Genomic DNA, 13,396 nt, shown 5'->3' with positions numbered 1-13,396 from the left:
CTGCCCCGGAGTGCTTGAATTCCTTTGTGGTGATGGCATATGTACTCACAGGGAGATATTTACACGTGGTGCTCAGGATGAGTGAGCTCTTCAGATTTCAGGTGTTGGCATTCATTTTAAAATCTCAAGTTTTTAATCAAATGGAATGTTTTCCTCCTTTCCTTGATTCTCACTAGTTACACAAGTCAACAGATTTCCAGTAAATAACTGGTATTATTTTGTACGTAGTAGAAGATGAAATATGTGTGTTGTGGCAGTGAGGGGATGAGGGGAGAAATAACCAGAAAACTATTATAAATGCAGGATTCCAGCCCAGCCTTCAGCATTTTGATTCAGCTGGTTAGTTTGGGACCCAGAAATCTGCATTTCTTTTTTTTTTTTTTTTTTTGAGATGGATTCTCACTCTGTCACCCAGGCGGGAGTGCAGTGGCACTATCTTGGTTCACTGCAACCTCCGCCTCCCAGGTTCAAGCGATTATCTTGCCTCAGCCTCCTGAGTAGCTGGGACTACAGGCACCCGCCACCACACCTGGCTAATTTTTTGTATTTTTAGTAGAGACGCGGTTTCACCATGTTAGCCAGGACGGTCTCGATCTCCTGACCTCATGATCTGCCTGCCTCGGTTTCCCAAAGTGTTGGGATTACAGGCATGAGCCACTGCGCCCGGCCAAAATCTGCATTTCTACAAATACCTAGGTGATCTGCACGCAAGCCATCCTGTTTTATAAAAACACACTTACTTCTTCCTGAAGCATTTTCAGCTGCACTGATCCGTCACTGAGATTTACATCAATACAACAAAGGCTAGGGCAGAGGGAAGGGTAAAGGTGAAACAAGATGAATCATGAATGAAAATACTGTGGATGCTGGGTGACGGGAACACGAGGGTCCACTATACCACTTCACTCTATTTTTCTGTATGTTTGAAATTTTCTATAATAAAAAGAAAAAAAAAGCAAAGCAAAGCTCAGTAAACAGATCAAAGCAAGTCTACAGCCCCATGCTCTTCAAGAGACTCGCCAGTAGAAATTTCATCTGAACTTTTACCAATTCAAGGAGTTGCCTATAAACCTTTTCAGCAATTCCAACACTGAAAGACCCCCCAAAATAATCCTCTCTAACTAAATTCTTAAGCCAAAGAGGTTTCGTTCATATTCTCAGAGATTAAGCTGCTCTTGGAGGAGGTAAATCGAATCTATTTTTCATATATTTATTACTCTAAAAAGAAAAATAAGATTCTGCCAATATCATTATAATGCAGTTAGTACCACAAACATGGTATTTAGAATGTTTATGGTGGTATTTAATAGTTTAAGTGACAGGGAGAAAACATGGACAGAGTCCTTCCAGCTCATCTGTCTCTAAGAGGTCCCAAAGTTGCTCTCTCCTCCCCTCCCCACAACCCCAAAGATTAGGTACAGGAAGCAGAGGATCAAAAATCTATTAAAAATGCCCAGAAGCAATGAGCAAACCCAGCACCCAGATCTTGTTTTTTTTGTTTGTTTGGTTTTTTTTGAGACAATCTCACTCTGTCACCCAGGCTGGAGTGCAGTGGTCCGATCTCGGCTCATTGCAACTTCCATCTCCTGGGTTCAAGTGATTCTCCTGCCTCAACCTCCCGAGTAGCTGGGATTACAGGCGCACACCACCACACCTGGCTAATTTTTGTATTGTTAGTAGAGACGAGGTTTTACCACGTTGGTCAGGCTAGTCTTGAACTCCTGACCTCAAGTGATCCGCCCACCTCGGCCTCCCAAAGTGCTGGGATTACAGGCATGAGCCACTGCGCCTGGCCCAGATCTTGGTTTCTCATATCACTCTCCAATCAGAGGAACCAGAGCTCCTTGAAGAAAAGGCTGATTCTAGGACTGGGGCAGGGAATATACAAGATGAACCTGTAGCTTCTTGAAATGCCAGAAAATAAGGAAATGCTTAAAAAAAAAATGAGGATATGTCAGCGGGGCACCCAGGAGCTAACTGAAAGAGCTCTCGATGGCCAAAGCTGGTACAATGTAAGAACAAATAAACAACACTGTGGAATCAACTCGAAGTATAAAATAAATATCCATGCATCCACACTGACATAAGTAAATGCTTGAATAAAGAAATAAACAGAGGATCGCATGGGCCCGGGAGTTCAAGGCTGCAGTGAGTCATGACTGTGCTACTGCACTCCAGTTTGGACTACAGAGCAAGACCTGTCAAGGAAAGGGAAGGGGAAGAGGAAGAAAAAAAGAAAAGAAGAGAATACGCGAGTCTCTTCAACAGAACTCCAAAGAATGTCTACAGACACTTCCTTGCAAAGAGGTGGAGCACAGCTTGCCACTCATTAAGTGTTGACCCTGCACTCGTACACCATGGGGAGGGGAGGACAGAGTAACTTTACAGGGTGAAAGCTGACAAACACTACTCAGCCAGGTGATCAAGTGACAAGTCATGCTGTGTGATGTTGTGTGCACACACCCTTGATGTGATGTGATGAGAATGGCACTTTAACTCTGTGGTCTTCCTCCCAGAAACCCACACCCCCAGTCTAATCGTGAGAAAAACATCAGACAAATCCCAGTTGAGGGACATTCTACAAAATATCTGACCAGTCAGTACTCCTCAAAGCTGTCCAGGTCACTCTAAACAAGGAATGGACTGGGGGAGCCCAAGGGGCATAACTACTAAATGTAATGTGGTTTCCTGGAAGAGAAAAAAAGACACTAGAGAAATATTAAAGAAACTGAACAAGCTGTGGACTTATTTAATAGCAATATATTAATACTTGTTCCTTAGTTGTGACAAATGTACTACATTAATATAGGATGTTAACAACAGGGACTGGGTAAAAGATACACAGGAACACTCTGTACTATCTTTGCAATGTTTCTGTAAATCTAAAATTGTTGTGAAAGAAAAAGGTTTTAATAAAAAAAAAACTATAAATGGCCTCATCCCAGGTGAAGGTCTGTGGCTGCATGGGAAGTCAAGTCCGCAAGAGAATGAGAGGCTTCAGCTCATACCCTCTCCTTCACACACACACACGCGGACACAAACACACACACACACGCACAAACACACGCACATGCACACACACACACACAGACACACACTGAGGTACTGGTTTGGAGAACTTAGTTCTCTAGTATCATCTTCATCATCCTCAGTTACAAATGCTGACAGAGCATCTACAACCTGTGACATACCATCCAAACACCAATCCCAAAAATGTGCTATCCCAAGGATATAAGACACGGTCCTTGCAAACTAGGTAAAGAGACAGGACTTAAACAATGATGTAGGCCGGACACTGTGGCTCACACCTATAATCCCAACACCGTGGGAGGCCGAAGCCAGAGGACTGCTTGAGGCCAGGAGTTTGAGACCAGCCTGGGCAACATGGCAACTTTACTTTTGTAGACCATCTCTACAAAAAGTAAAAATTGGCCAAGCATGGTTACATGCGCCTATAGTCCCAGCTACTCAGGAGCTGACATGGGAGGACTGCTTGAGCCTAGGAGTTCAGGGATGCAGTAAACCATGACAGTTCACTGCACTCCAGCCTGGGCAACAGAGCAAGACTTTGTCTCTTAAACAAACAAACAAAAAACCAATGATATGAAGATATAAAGTGGTATTTGGTATTTATTAAGTGCAAGTAGTAGACTGGTATGATGAAACCAAACCTTTCTTTTTTTGCTTTTTTTGAGATGGAGTCTTGCTCTGTCACTAGGCCTGGGCACAGTGGTGCGATCTCAGCTCACTGCAACCTCCGCCTCCCGGGTTCAACCTCAGCCTCCTGAGTAGCTGGGACTATAAGTGCCCGCCACCACACTCAGCTGACTTTTTAGTAGAGACGGGGTTTCACCATGTTGGCCAGGATGGTCTCAATCTCTTGACCTCGTGACCCGCCCGCCTCGGCCTCCCAAAGTGCTGAGATTACAGGTGTGAGCCACAGCACCCGGCCCAAAACCAAACCTTTCTTGATTTCAGCCAGCAGTAATTTCTCTCTCCTCTCTCCCGCCCTCCCTTCCTTCTTTTCTTTTTTTCTTCTCTTTCTTTCTTCTTTCTTTTTCTCTTTCTTTGAGTCTCGCTCTGTCGCCCAGGCTGGTGTGCAATGGCATGATCTCGGCTCACTGCAACCTCTGCCTCCTGGGTTCAAGCGACTCTCCTGCCTCAGCCTCCTGAGTAGCTGAGACTTTAGGAGTGTGCCACCATACCCAGCTAATTTTTGTGTTTTTTAGTATAGACGGGGTTTCTCCGTGTTGTCCAGGCTGGTCTTGAACTCCTGACCTCACGTGATCCACCCACCTCGACCTCCCACCGTGCTGGGATTACAGGCATGAGCCACTGTACCCAGGCAGTACATTTTATGTTCTTTCCGTCCCATGTCATTTATAAATCAAAAAATGTGTTAGTGTACCACACATTCTATACCTTAAAACATCACATAAGTTGACCTTTTAAGAGGATGAAATGAGAATAAACATCAGTTCCAATGTTTTCGTCTGGCACCCCATGAAACATCTTGCTCCACAGGTATACACTCTCAAGTTCACCAAGGGAAGGAATCTCTAAGGGCTGGGCCAGGATCAATAACTCAGTAGGGAAGGTGGGTCCGCAAAGAGGTTTTAAAAAAAATAAAAAGATGGCAGCACTTACAGAAGCAGGAAAAGAGGCAATTGCAAACAGGGAGAATATATGGAGAGCCAGAAGATGGGAATTTGCATGGAATATTTTGCAAGCGATAGGCAGATCAAGTTAGCTCTGAAAAAAGTGCTGTGGAGGGTGGAGGCAGGAACAACAACAGATGCGCTGCAGCAGACACCCCGATGCGACCGTCTCCCTTCACCAGATGCAGGGAGACAGGGGCTACTTTAGCCATAGCACAAGGTCCTGCACACCTAATTTGACCTGATGGTAACTCAAGCCTTTTAAAATATTAAAACTACCCAGGTGCAGTGGCTCATGCCTGTAATCCCAGCACTTTGGGAGGCTGAGGTGGGAGGATCACTTGAGTCCAGGAGTTTGAGACCAGCCTGGGCAATATAGTGAGATCCCATCTCTATAGAAAAAATATGTTTTACATCAGTCAGGCATGGTGGTATCCACCTGTAGTCCCAGCTATTCAGGAGGCTGAGGTGGGAGGATCGTTTTAGCCCAAGAAGTAGAGACTGCAGTGAATATGACTGCACCACTGCATTCCAGCCTGAGTGACAGAACAAGACCCTGTCTCAAAAAAAAAAAAAAAAAACTTTAAAAAAACACATATAATAAAATGCAAAACCTACCTACCAAATTGTCAAAAATTAAACAGAAGGTTTACCACCACCACCCCCTCCTACCAAAGGCCCAGGTGGGCAGAGGAATACAGAGTCACTCTTTTGTGGTTGGGGAAGGAAAAAAAGGCAGAGAAAATGAAAGATACTGATCAATGCTGTGGCTGCGGGTACCTGAGACATCTGGCATAAATAGTGCTCACTTTTCCCACCTGAATCACAATACAATAAATGACATTTGGAATCACTGCACTGAGCTAACTTTTGCAAAAAAAAAAAAAAGAATTTAATAATGAGGTTACTTTTCTGATATGCCTGCTCTTTGTGACAAACAATTGTAATGCCAAGGCAGGGCTCCGAATTAGCCACTTGCTACAATTTTAAAAGACATCAATCCAATATTTTGCTCTGCAGACATGCTAATTTTACCATAACTTCCCCAGTTTTCTGCAACAGTATCTTCATAAGAAGATTCAAAGAAAAGCTGATAATGGAATCTAAAATCCCTAGAGGGAGCAGTCTTCTAGATCAGAGATGGTTGTCCAGCATCTCCTCCGAGAATATTCCTTCCCTCATTTTAGTAAATACAAAGTTTTAAAACAGTAATAAAGCACTGCTAGTCGACTATAAAAGCACATGATTTTAAATGAGAAAGGGCCAGGTGCGGTGGCTCACACCTATAATCCTACCACTTTTGGAGACTGAGGCAGGAGGATCACTTGAGGCCAGGAATTTGAGACCAGCCTGGGCAACACAGTGAGACGCCAGCTGTATTAGTCCATTCTTACAGTGCTATAAAGAATCGCTCAAGACTGGGTAATTTATCAAGGAAAGAGGTTTAATTGACTCACAGTTCCACATGGCTGGGGAGGCCTCAGGAAACTTATAAACACGGTGGAAGGGGAAGCAAACATGTCCTTCGTCACATGGCAGCAGGAGAGAGAAGTGCCAAGCAAAGGGGGAAAAGTCCTTACAAAACCATCAGATCTTGTGAGAACTCATTCACTATCACAAGAATAGCATGGGGGTAACCACCCCCATGATTCAACTATCTCCCATGGGGTTCCTCACACGACATATGGGGATTACGGGAACTACAATTCAAGATAAGAATTGGGTGAGGAAACAGCCAAACCATATCACCATCTCTACAAAAAAATAAAGTGGGCATGGTGGCACACACCTGTAGTCACACACCTACAGGTAAGTGTCTGTAGGTGACACACACCTACTCAGGAGGCTGAGGCAGGAGGATTGCTTGAGCCTGGGAGTTTGAGGCTACAGTGAGCTGTGATTGTGCCATTGCACTCCAGCCTGAGTGACAGAGCAAGACTGTTTTTCCCTGAAGTCTCTTTCTTCTGTTCTGCAGTGGGGAGCTGAGGTTGTGCTACCTCAGTTCTCATCTCTTCACCAGCAAAAACTCCACAATTATTTTGTCTTTTCTTCTTTCTTTTTTCAAAGCCCTCTTCTCACTTCCCTCACCCTTGTAATGGGCCTAGATTTGGGAGTTCACGAAGAATCAGGATCATGATCATAATTATAATCACAGCTGGCCTTACATGTCCTAACCAAGGACTGGGCACTGTACCTGCCTCACACCAGCCCTGTCCCACAGAACCTTTTTCCATAATGGGAAGTTCTCTTCTGTGCTGTCCAATGCCGTAGCCACCAGCCACCTGCAGTTATCAAGCCCTTAACTTGTGGCCAGTGCCACTGAAGAACTGAAGCTTTCGTTCTAAAACGTTTACATTTAAGCATCCACAGGGAGCTAGTGGCTATTGTACTAGACAACACAGGTTTGGACCTTCACAAGACTGTAACTATTCTCTCCGTTTTACAGATAAACCAAGTCTTGCCTGGTGCAGTGACTCATGCCTATAACCCCAGCACTTTGGGAGGCTGAAATGGGAGGATCTCTTGAGGCCAGGAGTTGGAGGTTGCAGTGAGCTATGATCGCACCACTGCACTCTAGCCTGGGCAGCAGAGCAAGATCCTGTCTCTTAAAAAAAAGAAAAATGAGAGGGAGAAAGAAAAACGTCAGTCACATTCATCTCTCTGGTTTCTAAGAGAAAGCATCAGCTCTGGGCTTGTTCTACTACAACCTGGGTTAATCAGGGATGCCTCATGACAATACACAATTGTGTTTAAGATCAAGAAAAACTTTCAAGTGCTCATGATTCCTTTAAATAAATTAAAATCAGCATCTGTTCACATGCAAGAGCTTTAGTCATCTTCCACTTTAAAAACAGGTTTATTACATAAAAGCAGACTAACCCAGATGATCCTAAAAATTTCCAGCATAGTTCTCCAACACTACGAATTTCAAGTAGTAACAATACCAGCTTAGACTTAAATAAACCAGATTTCTCTCTAAAGCATCTCCATCCACCATAAAAAAGTTATTTTGAGCAACAAAGATTTTTTAAATCCAGTAAATTCTAGACATGCCATGTTACGCAGCTACCACTTTGAGCTCCTGCTTTGATGCCATACCACCTGCCATTAGTCAATTTGATGATAACCAAATTTACAAAGAAATCTGAAACAATGAAGCAATCTAGTGTGAGAGGGTACACCACTGTGCCCCCCACAACCCTTTGGGTAAATATTGTCATTGCCACCCTTTTTAATGATGGAGTTCTAAGCCCAGAGGTCGAGTAACTGACCCAGGGTCCTTAAGCTATTCCAGCGGCAGCCAAGGCTTCACACCCAGATCTCACTACAAAGCCCAAGCTCTTCCTACAACACTCTGTTCCAGCTAGGATTGGTTCATGAATTTTACTCTCAACTAAACGAAAAAGTTGGATTATTTCTATATGTCCATTTACAAGAACTTTTTTGAGGACTCATTTGTTTACTGTTTCAGAACCCTGGACGTCCCTTATTTATATGACAGTGTCTTTTTAAAATTATATCTACAGCTGTTATCTAAGTGACACAATACACAGGGGCCAGAGAGGGCCCAAGGACTCTAAATTTTTAAGAGAATTTGCAGGAACACTCAGCACACTGATTATCAGCAAAACTGTAAGGATTTGATAACTTCAGTGCTAATCAGCTACAAAACTGCAGACGGACTTCCTATTACTGTTCAAATGAGCATATTTAGTTAACCCCAAAATATCACCAAGTAAAAGTAATTGCAGCAATCCCAACCAAAATCAAATTTCAAGATTTATAGCTATAAATCCTAAAATAATTTGCATAGAAAGCCTGTTGAAAATAATTTTCCCAGAGGCTGTTAAACACAGTAATTCATACTTTAGAAAGCATTTCCTTTACTTTAGAAATCTTTTTCAAAATACAAGTCTGTTTGTTTAATCTAAAACGAGAGGCTCGGTTTCACAAGCTGCTGTTTAATCAGTAGCTGAGTCCCACTGGCTTCACGGGCTTCCGTGAGGTCCTTTATCTGGAGCTGCTAAAAGCTTCCTCTGTACTCTGTGACCTAATATGCTGCAGAACAATAGAACTGGGTTTCCTTGTCTCACCACTATCCTAATATTAATAAGAAAGTGTGAGCTTAGAGAAATTCGTTCACATATACAAGATCTTTCTTTATTTCTAGTCCCCGTTTATGATGTGAATCCTGAGAATCTTAGAAAAGGCGCATCCATGTTTTCTAAGAGAAGAATGATCTGATAACTATGATCTGGGGAAAAGAACTGAACTGTAATCTTAGTTTGGCAATTTAACTGGGTGTGAAAACAGTGAACTTTCTCCCTTTACATAAAAGCTTCCTAGAGAGGACCAACAAGTCTTAGTCTACATAACAACAAGGGCCCTTACAGAAACACAGATTCTCAGGAAAAGAGGCTCCTAGACGGGGCGGGCGTAGGGGGCAAAACGGCATCCCAGCTCAAAGAAGAGGCCCAAAATAAAGTTCAACCAAGAAATGCCTTCTTGCCTGATGGGCAAGTGCAATCTATATATTTACATAGCTTTATTATGACTGAATAAGAAAATATCTTTTTCAGCTTCTGAGTCTAGCAATGAATCTAGATGATGAAGACACCATAGATAAATGATCTTCAGTTTAAAAGCTGAATTTCAGTTAACTGCATGCTTTCTCTAAGGCACCATTAAACTGGATAGACTGATCAGGCTTCAAGCAGAAAGAAGAACAAGGAGGCGAAAGACCCTATGAAATGGGTCTATCCTTATTTGAAAGTGTCTAGCTCTATCTTCACAAGGAGTGCAGGCTCCTAGATTACCAGAAGCTTTAGTTAGGTTTTTGGCGTGTAACTGCTCTTTTATCTACCATACATGGTCAAGCGGGATTCCTCTTTTTTAACCAGCGAGCTCACTAGTCAGGATTAGCTTAAAGGTTTTTTTTTAAACTTGGTCTAATATATCTTGGTCAAGAACCCACCTCAGCTAACGAGGATCAATAAACTCTTTTGGATGGAGAGACAAGCCCCTGAATATCTATGTCTGATTGTGCATCTTCCTTTCTTTTTTTTTTTTTTTTTTTTGAGACGGAGTCTCACTCTGTTGCCCAGGCTATGATGCAGTGGCACAATCTCGGCTCACTGTAAGCTCCGCTCCCTGGGTGCAAGCAATTTTCCTGCCTCAGCCTCCCAAATAGTTGGGATTACAGGCTCCCACCACCACGCACGGCTAATTTTTGTATATTTAGTAGAGAGGGAATTTCACCATGTTGGTCAGGCTGGTCTCGAACTCCTGACCTCAAGCAATCCACCCACCTGGGCCTCCCAAAGTGCTGGGATTACAGGTGTGATCCACTGCTCCCGGCCTGACTGTGCGTCTTTTCCACAGACTTTAACCCTAGGTACCCATTATTCATATGCAACACGTCAAAACATATACACCTATCCTACAAAGATCAGAATATGAAAGGAAAATTTGTAGCAAAAGTTGCTACAAATTACCAAATATTTCCTTATGCTATATGTATGTCAAGATTTGATATCTCTATTTACAGATTAACTTTTCTGATTGCTTTGTTCTACAACACCCCAACAAAATTCATTTTATAATTCATGACACCATAAAATTGTAAAAGAATGGAATAAAAACCGTGTAAGAAGTGTACAGGTGGCCAGGCGCGGTGGCTCACGCCTGTAATCCCAGCACTTTGGGAGGCTGAGGCGGGTGAATCACGAGGTCAGGAGTTCAAGACCGGCCTGGCCAAGATGATGAAACCCGTCTCTACTAAAAATACAAAAATTAGCCGGACATGGTGGCAGGGGCCTGTAGTCCCAGCTACACAGGAGGCTGAGGCAGAGAACTGCTTGAACTCGGAAGGGGGGGGTTGCAGTCAGCTGATATCGCACCGATGATGCACTCCAGCCTGGGTGACAGAGCAAGACTCCGTCTCAAAAAAAAAAAAAAAAAAAAAGTGTGCAGGCAGACATAGGTTCCTATAAAGAATCGATACTTCAAAATATATAAAAATCCAATTAAGTGTAAAGTCATCTGGAAATTTCTTGAATCCCCATCATATAAATACTCTTTACCTACTACACTATACTAGTGCTAACTTTCAATATCAATATCTTTAAATATCAACATCACCATCCTTCCACATAATCTTTCATTATTTCCCAGGCATTTCCTGTGACTCTTTCCGGGGTTGCCTATACACATCTGATAACATTTACTCTTCTTATCTATCGGATCAGAAAACAGAATTCACCTCACAAGTATTTGATCTAAGGCAGTAACAGAAATTTAGTGCTACATTATACGGTACAATGAGGACATTTAACGTTCAACTAAAGGGCACTCAATGACAAACCCTGATGTAGCTCTGGAAGCAATTACATGTAGCTTTCATCGTAGATTTGTTTGAAAAATATGTCTTTACTGGAGACAGTACATCCACATTCTGTACCCAATTAACATTATTCCAAAATAACTCTTGACCTCGAGAGTATTCCAAAACAGTTACAAGACTTAAAAAAAATCATACAACTAGGGGTATCTAAGACCTGGCTTTGGGGCTCTGCCTACAACGAAGCTGTGTCACCCTGGGTAGGTCATTTGACCCAACATGCCCAGTATCTCCTACTACGTAAAGAAGAAATTGGTCTAAATTTTCTTTAAGGTCTCTTCTAACTCTAACATTCTATGAATGTATGAAATTTCAATCTTTCCCCATTTCAAAGGTAATGGCGGCAGTCAATAACGCCAAGTTAGCCTAGATTTTTTTTTCCTTTTTAGAAAAATGACCCAACTTGGGATGTTTTCTTGGGTTGAAGTTTTATTTAGGAAAATAAACCCCAAATAAAAACGATGTTGAGAAAATGGGCGGGGGGGGAGAAAAGAAAATCATACACTGACGTTAGCTAAAATAGAAACTTCCATCACCCTTAAGCCAGTTTGTCAATAGTTATTCAACGCCTGCTACTCTAATCACTGGCTTCCTAAAATAGAAATATTTATAGTTGTTTCCTTCTCATCCCCGGAGATACATTCCGAATAAAAAGCACAGCGTCTAAAATCAATTTACAACTTCAGAATAAGTTGCAAGGAGCGAAAACAAACTCCGCACAGCTCGCCAAGTCATTTGCATTTAAGTATGATTAGGGCTAAGAAACGGTTCTTATGAGATGCGAAAAAAAAGCACAAGAGGCAGGTGACATCTGGAAAGGGAAGCTGAACTGCCAGGAAGCGATATAAGCTGAGGATCTTAAGGCAACAGGTCCAGGGCCGGCACCGCAGCCTATCCCGGGAGGGGTCGGTGGCTGCTACCTCGCCCGCCGCCCTCCCCAGCCCCAACGACGTCGCCTCGCTCCCGCCCCCCCAAATCCCACGCCCCTGCGGCAGAAATCTCCCTAATCACTCGCCTCCCTGGGCTTCCCGCCCCCGGCAGGCCCTCCGATTCCTCGGCGCCGAGGCCGGCCCGGCCCTGCCGCCCCCTCCCCTCCACGCCGAAGACCCCGCAGCCCCGTCCCCGCCGCGGGCCCGCTCACCTGCACCTGTTTGCGGAAGTGGCGCGGCCCCAGCACTGCCGGCGATCAGGAGGACCAGCAGCAGCAGCAGCAGCCTCCGCCGCAACGCCGGCGGCCCCGGCATCTCGCCCACGGCGCGGCTCCGGGGCCGGCCCTCGAGTCGCCTTCCGTCCGTCCGTCCGTTCGCCCGTCAGTCGATCCTGCCTCCCTCCGCTGCCTCAGTGGCACCCGCGCCGGTTGCTCCCGAGCACACGTTGCTTCTGCCAAACCTCGGTCCGGCTCCCGGTCCGCACCTGCCGCTCCAGTCGCAGAAACACCATCCTTCCCGCCCGCCTGCGCCGCCGCCGCCGCCTCTCAACAGCAGCAACGCCAGCAGCCCTGCGGAGCGGCGGGCCTGGGAAGCCGCGCTCCCGCCGCCATGATGGGCTGCGTCATGTGACGTAGCGCGGGGGCGGGATGTCGTGATGGACAGGGCGGCCAGCCACTCGTCAGTCCACACCGGCCCAGGAGGCCCCGCCCATCATCCTGAAGGAGTGAGCGGTGGCGGCCGGTGCGCCCCCTGCAGACGGAGGAGTGCGTGGGCAGCAGGTAACACCAACAATTATTTTAAATTGAAAAATACAGGAAAATGTAAAGAAGACCATGACAATCATCCTGATATTTTTTTCTCGGTGTTTTATAACATGCAAAAATAGGCCTGTCTTGTCTTCTGCCTTTTTTTTTTTTTTACTTGTCAGAGCTGTTTTAGGCTCTTCTCCTTAAGTTGACCTACACATCCTCTCAGCCATCAAACAGCTTTGGGCTTTTCACTTGAATTGATCAAGAGAATGCCTCTCTCGGCATCACCCACTGACTCACCTCCTGAGCTCAAGCTGTTGCCTCTTGTCCACCTGGCAGACACTCTTCCTTTCATCTGTCGAGACTCACCTGACATATGACTTCATCTATGACTCTCTAGGAGAAATGACTGTCATCTCCTTAGTGCCCCGCCCTGGCCCTGTGTGGACTGCTATCCTAGCTGCAGTATCCTATTGACCCGTGACTGTAAGCTCCCTGAGGACAGCAACTGTGTCTGATTCAGCTGGTGGGAAATCCCTGGTGCAGGACCTGGGTCGGAGCAGGTGTTCTCTAAAGCAATGGTGCATGGCCCTGGTCCCAGGTACCAGGGCAGAGCAGCTCCCAGGGGTGGCCTTCTCCCCACCAAGAGGTGAGGTGAGA

At 44.8% G+C, this 13,396-nt stretch overlaps 1 protein-coding gene across 2 annotated transcripts in view; it reads right to left on the bottom strand.

Moving 5' to 3' along the window:
• The window catches only part of LMTK2 (lemur tyrosine kinase 2), a 102,777-nt gene extending 90,159 nt beyond the window's left edge, over positions 1-12,618 (bottom strand). The window contains exon 1 of one of the 2 annotated variants that reach the window (NM_014916.4): positions 12,200-12,618. In NM_014916.4, coding sequence (NP_055731.2) covers positions 12,200-12,302 — 103 coding nt within the window. In that variant the 5' untranslated portion in view covers positions 12,303-12,618. The remainder of the gene's footprint in view (positions 1-12,199) is intronic. The other variant, XM_011515981.4, reaches the window with a different exon arrangement.

Source organism: Homo sapiens, chromosome 7 (genome assembly GCF_000001405.40).
Source record: "Homo sapiens chromosome 7, GRCh38.p14 Primary Assembly".
Lineage (NCBI taxonomy): Eukaryota > Metazoa > Chordata > Mammalia > Primates > Hominidae > Homo > Homo sapiens.
This window is presented reverse-complemented; position numbering and strand designations above follow the sequence as displayed.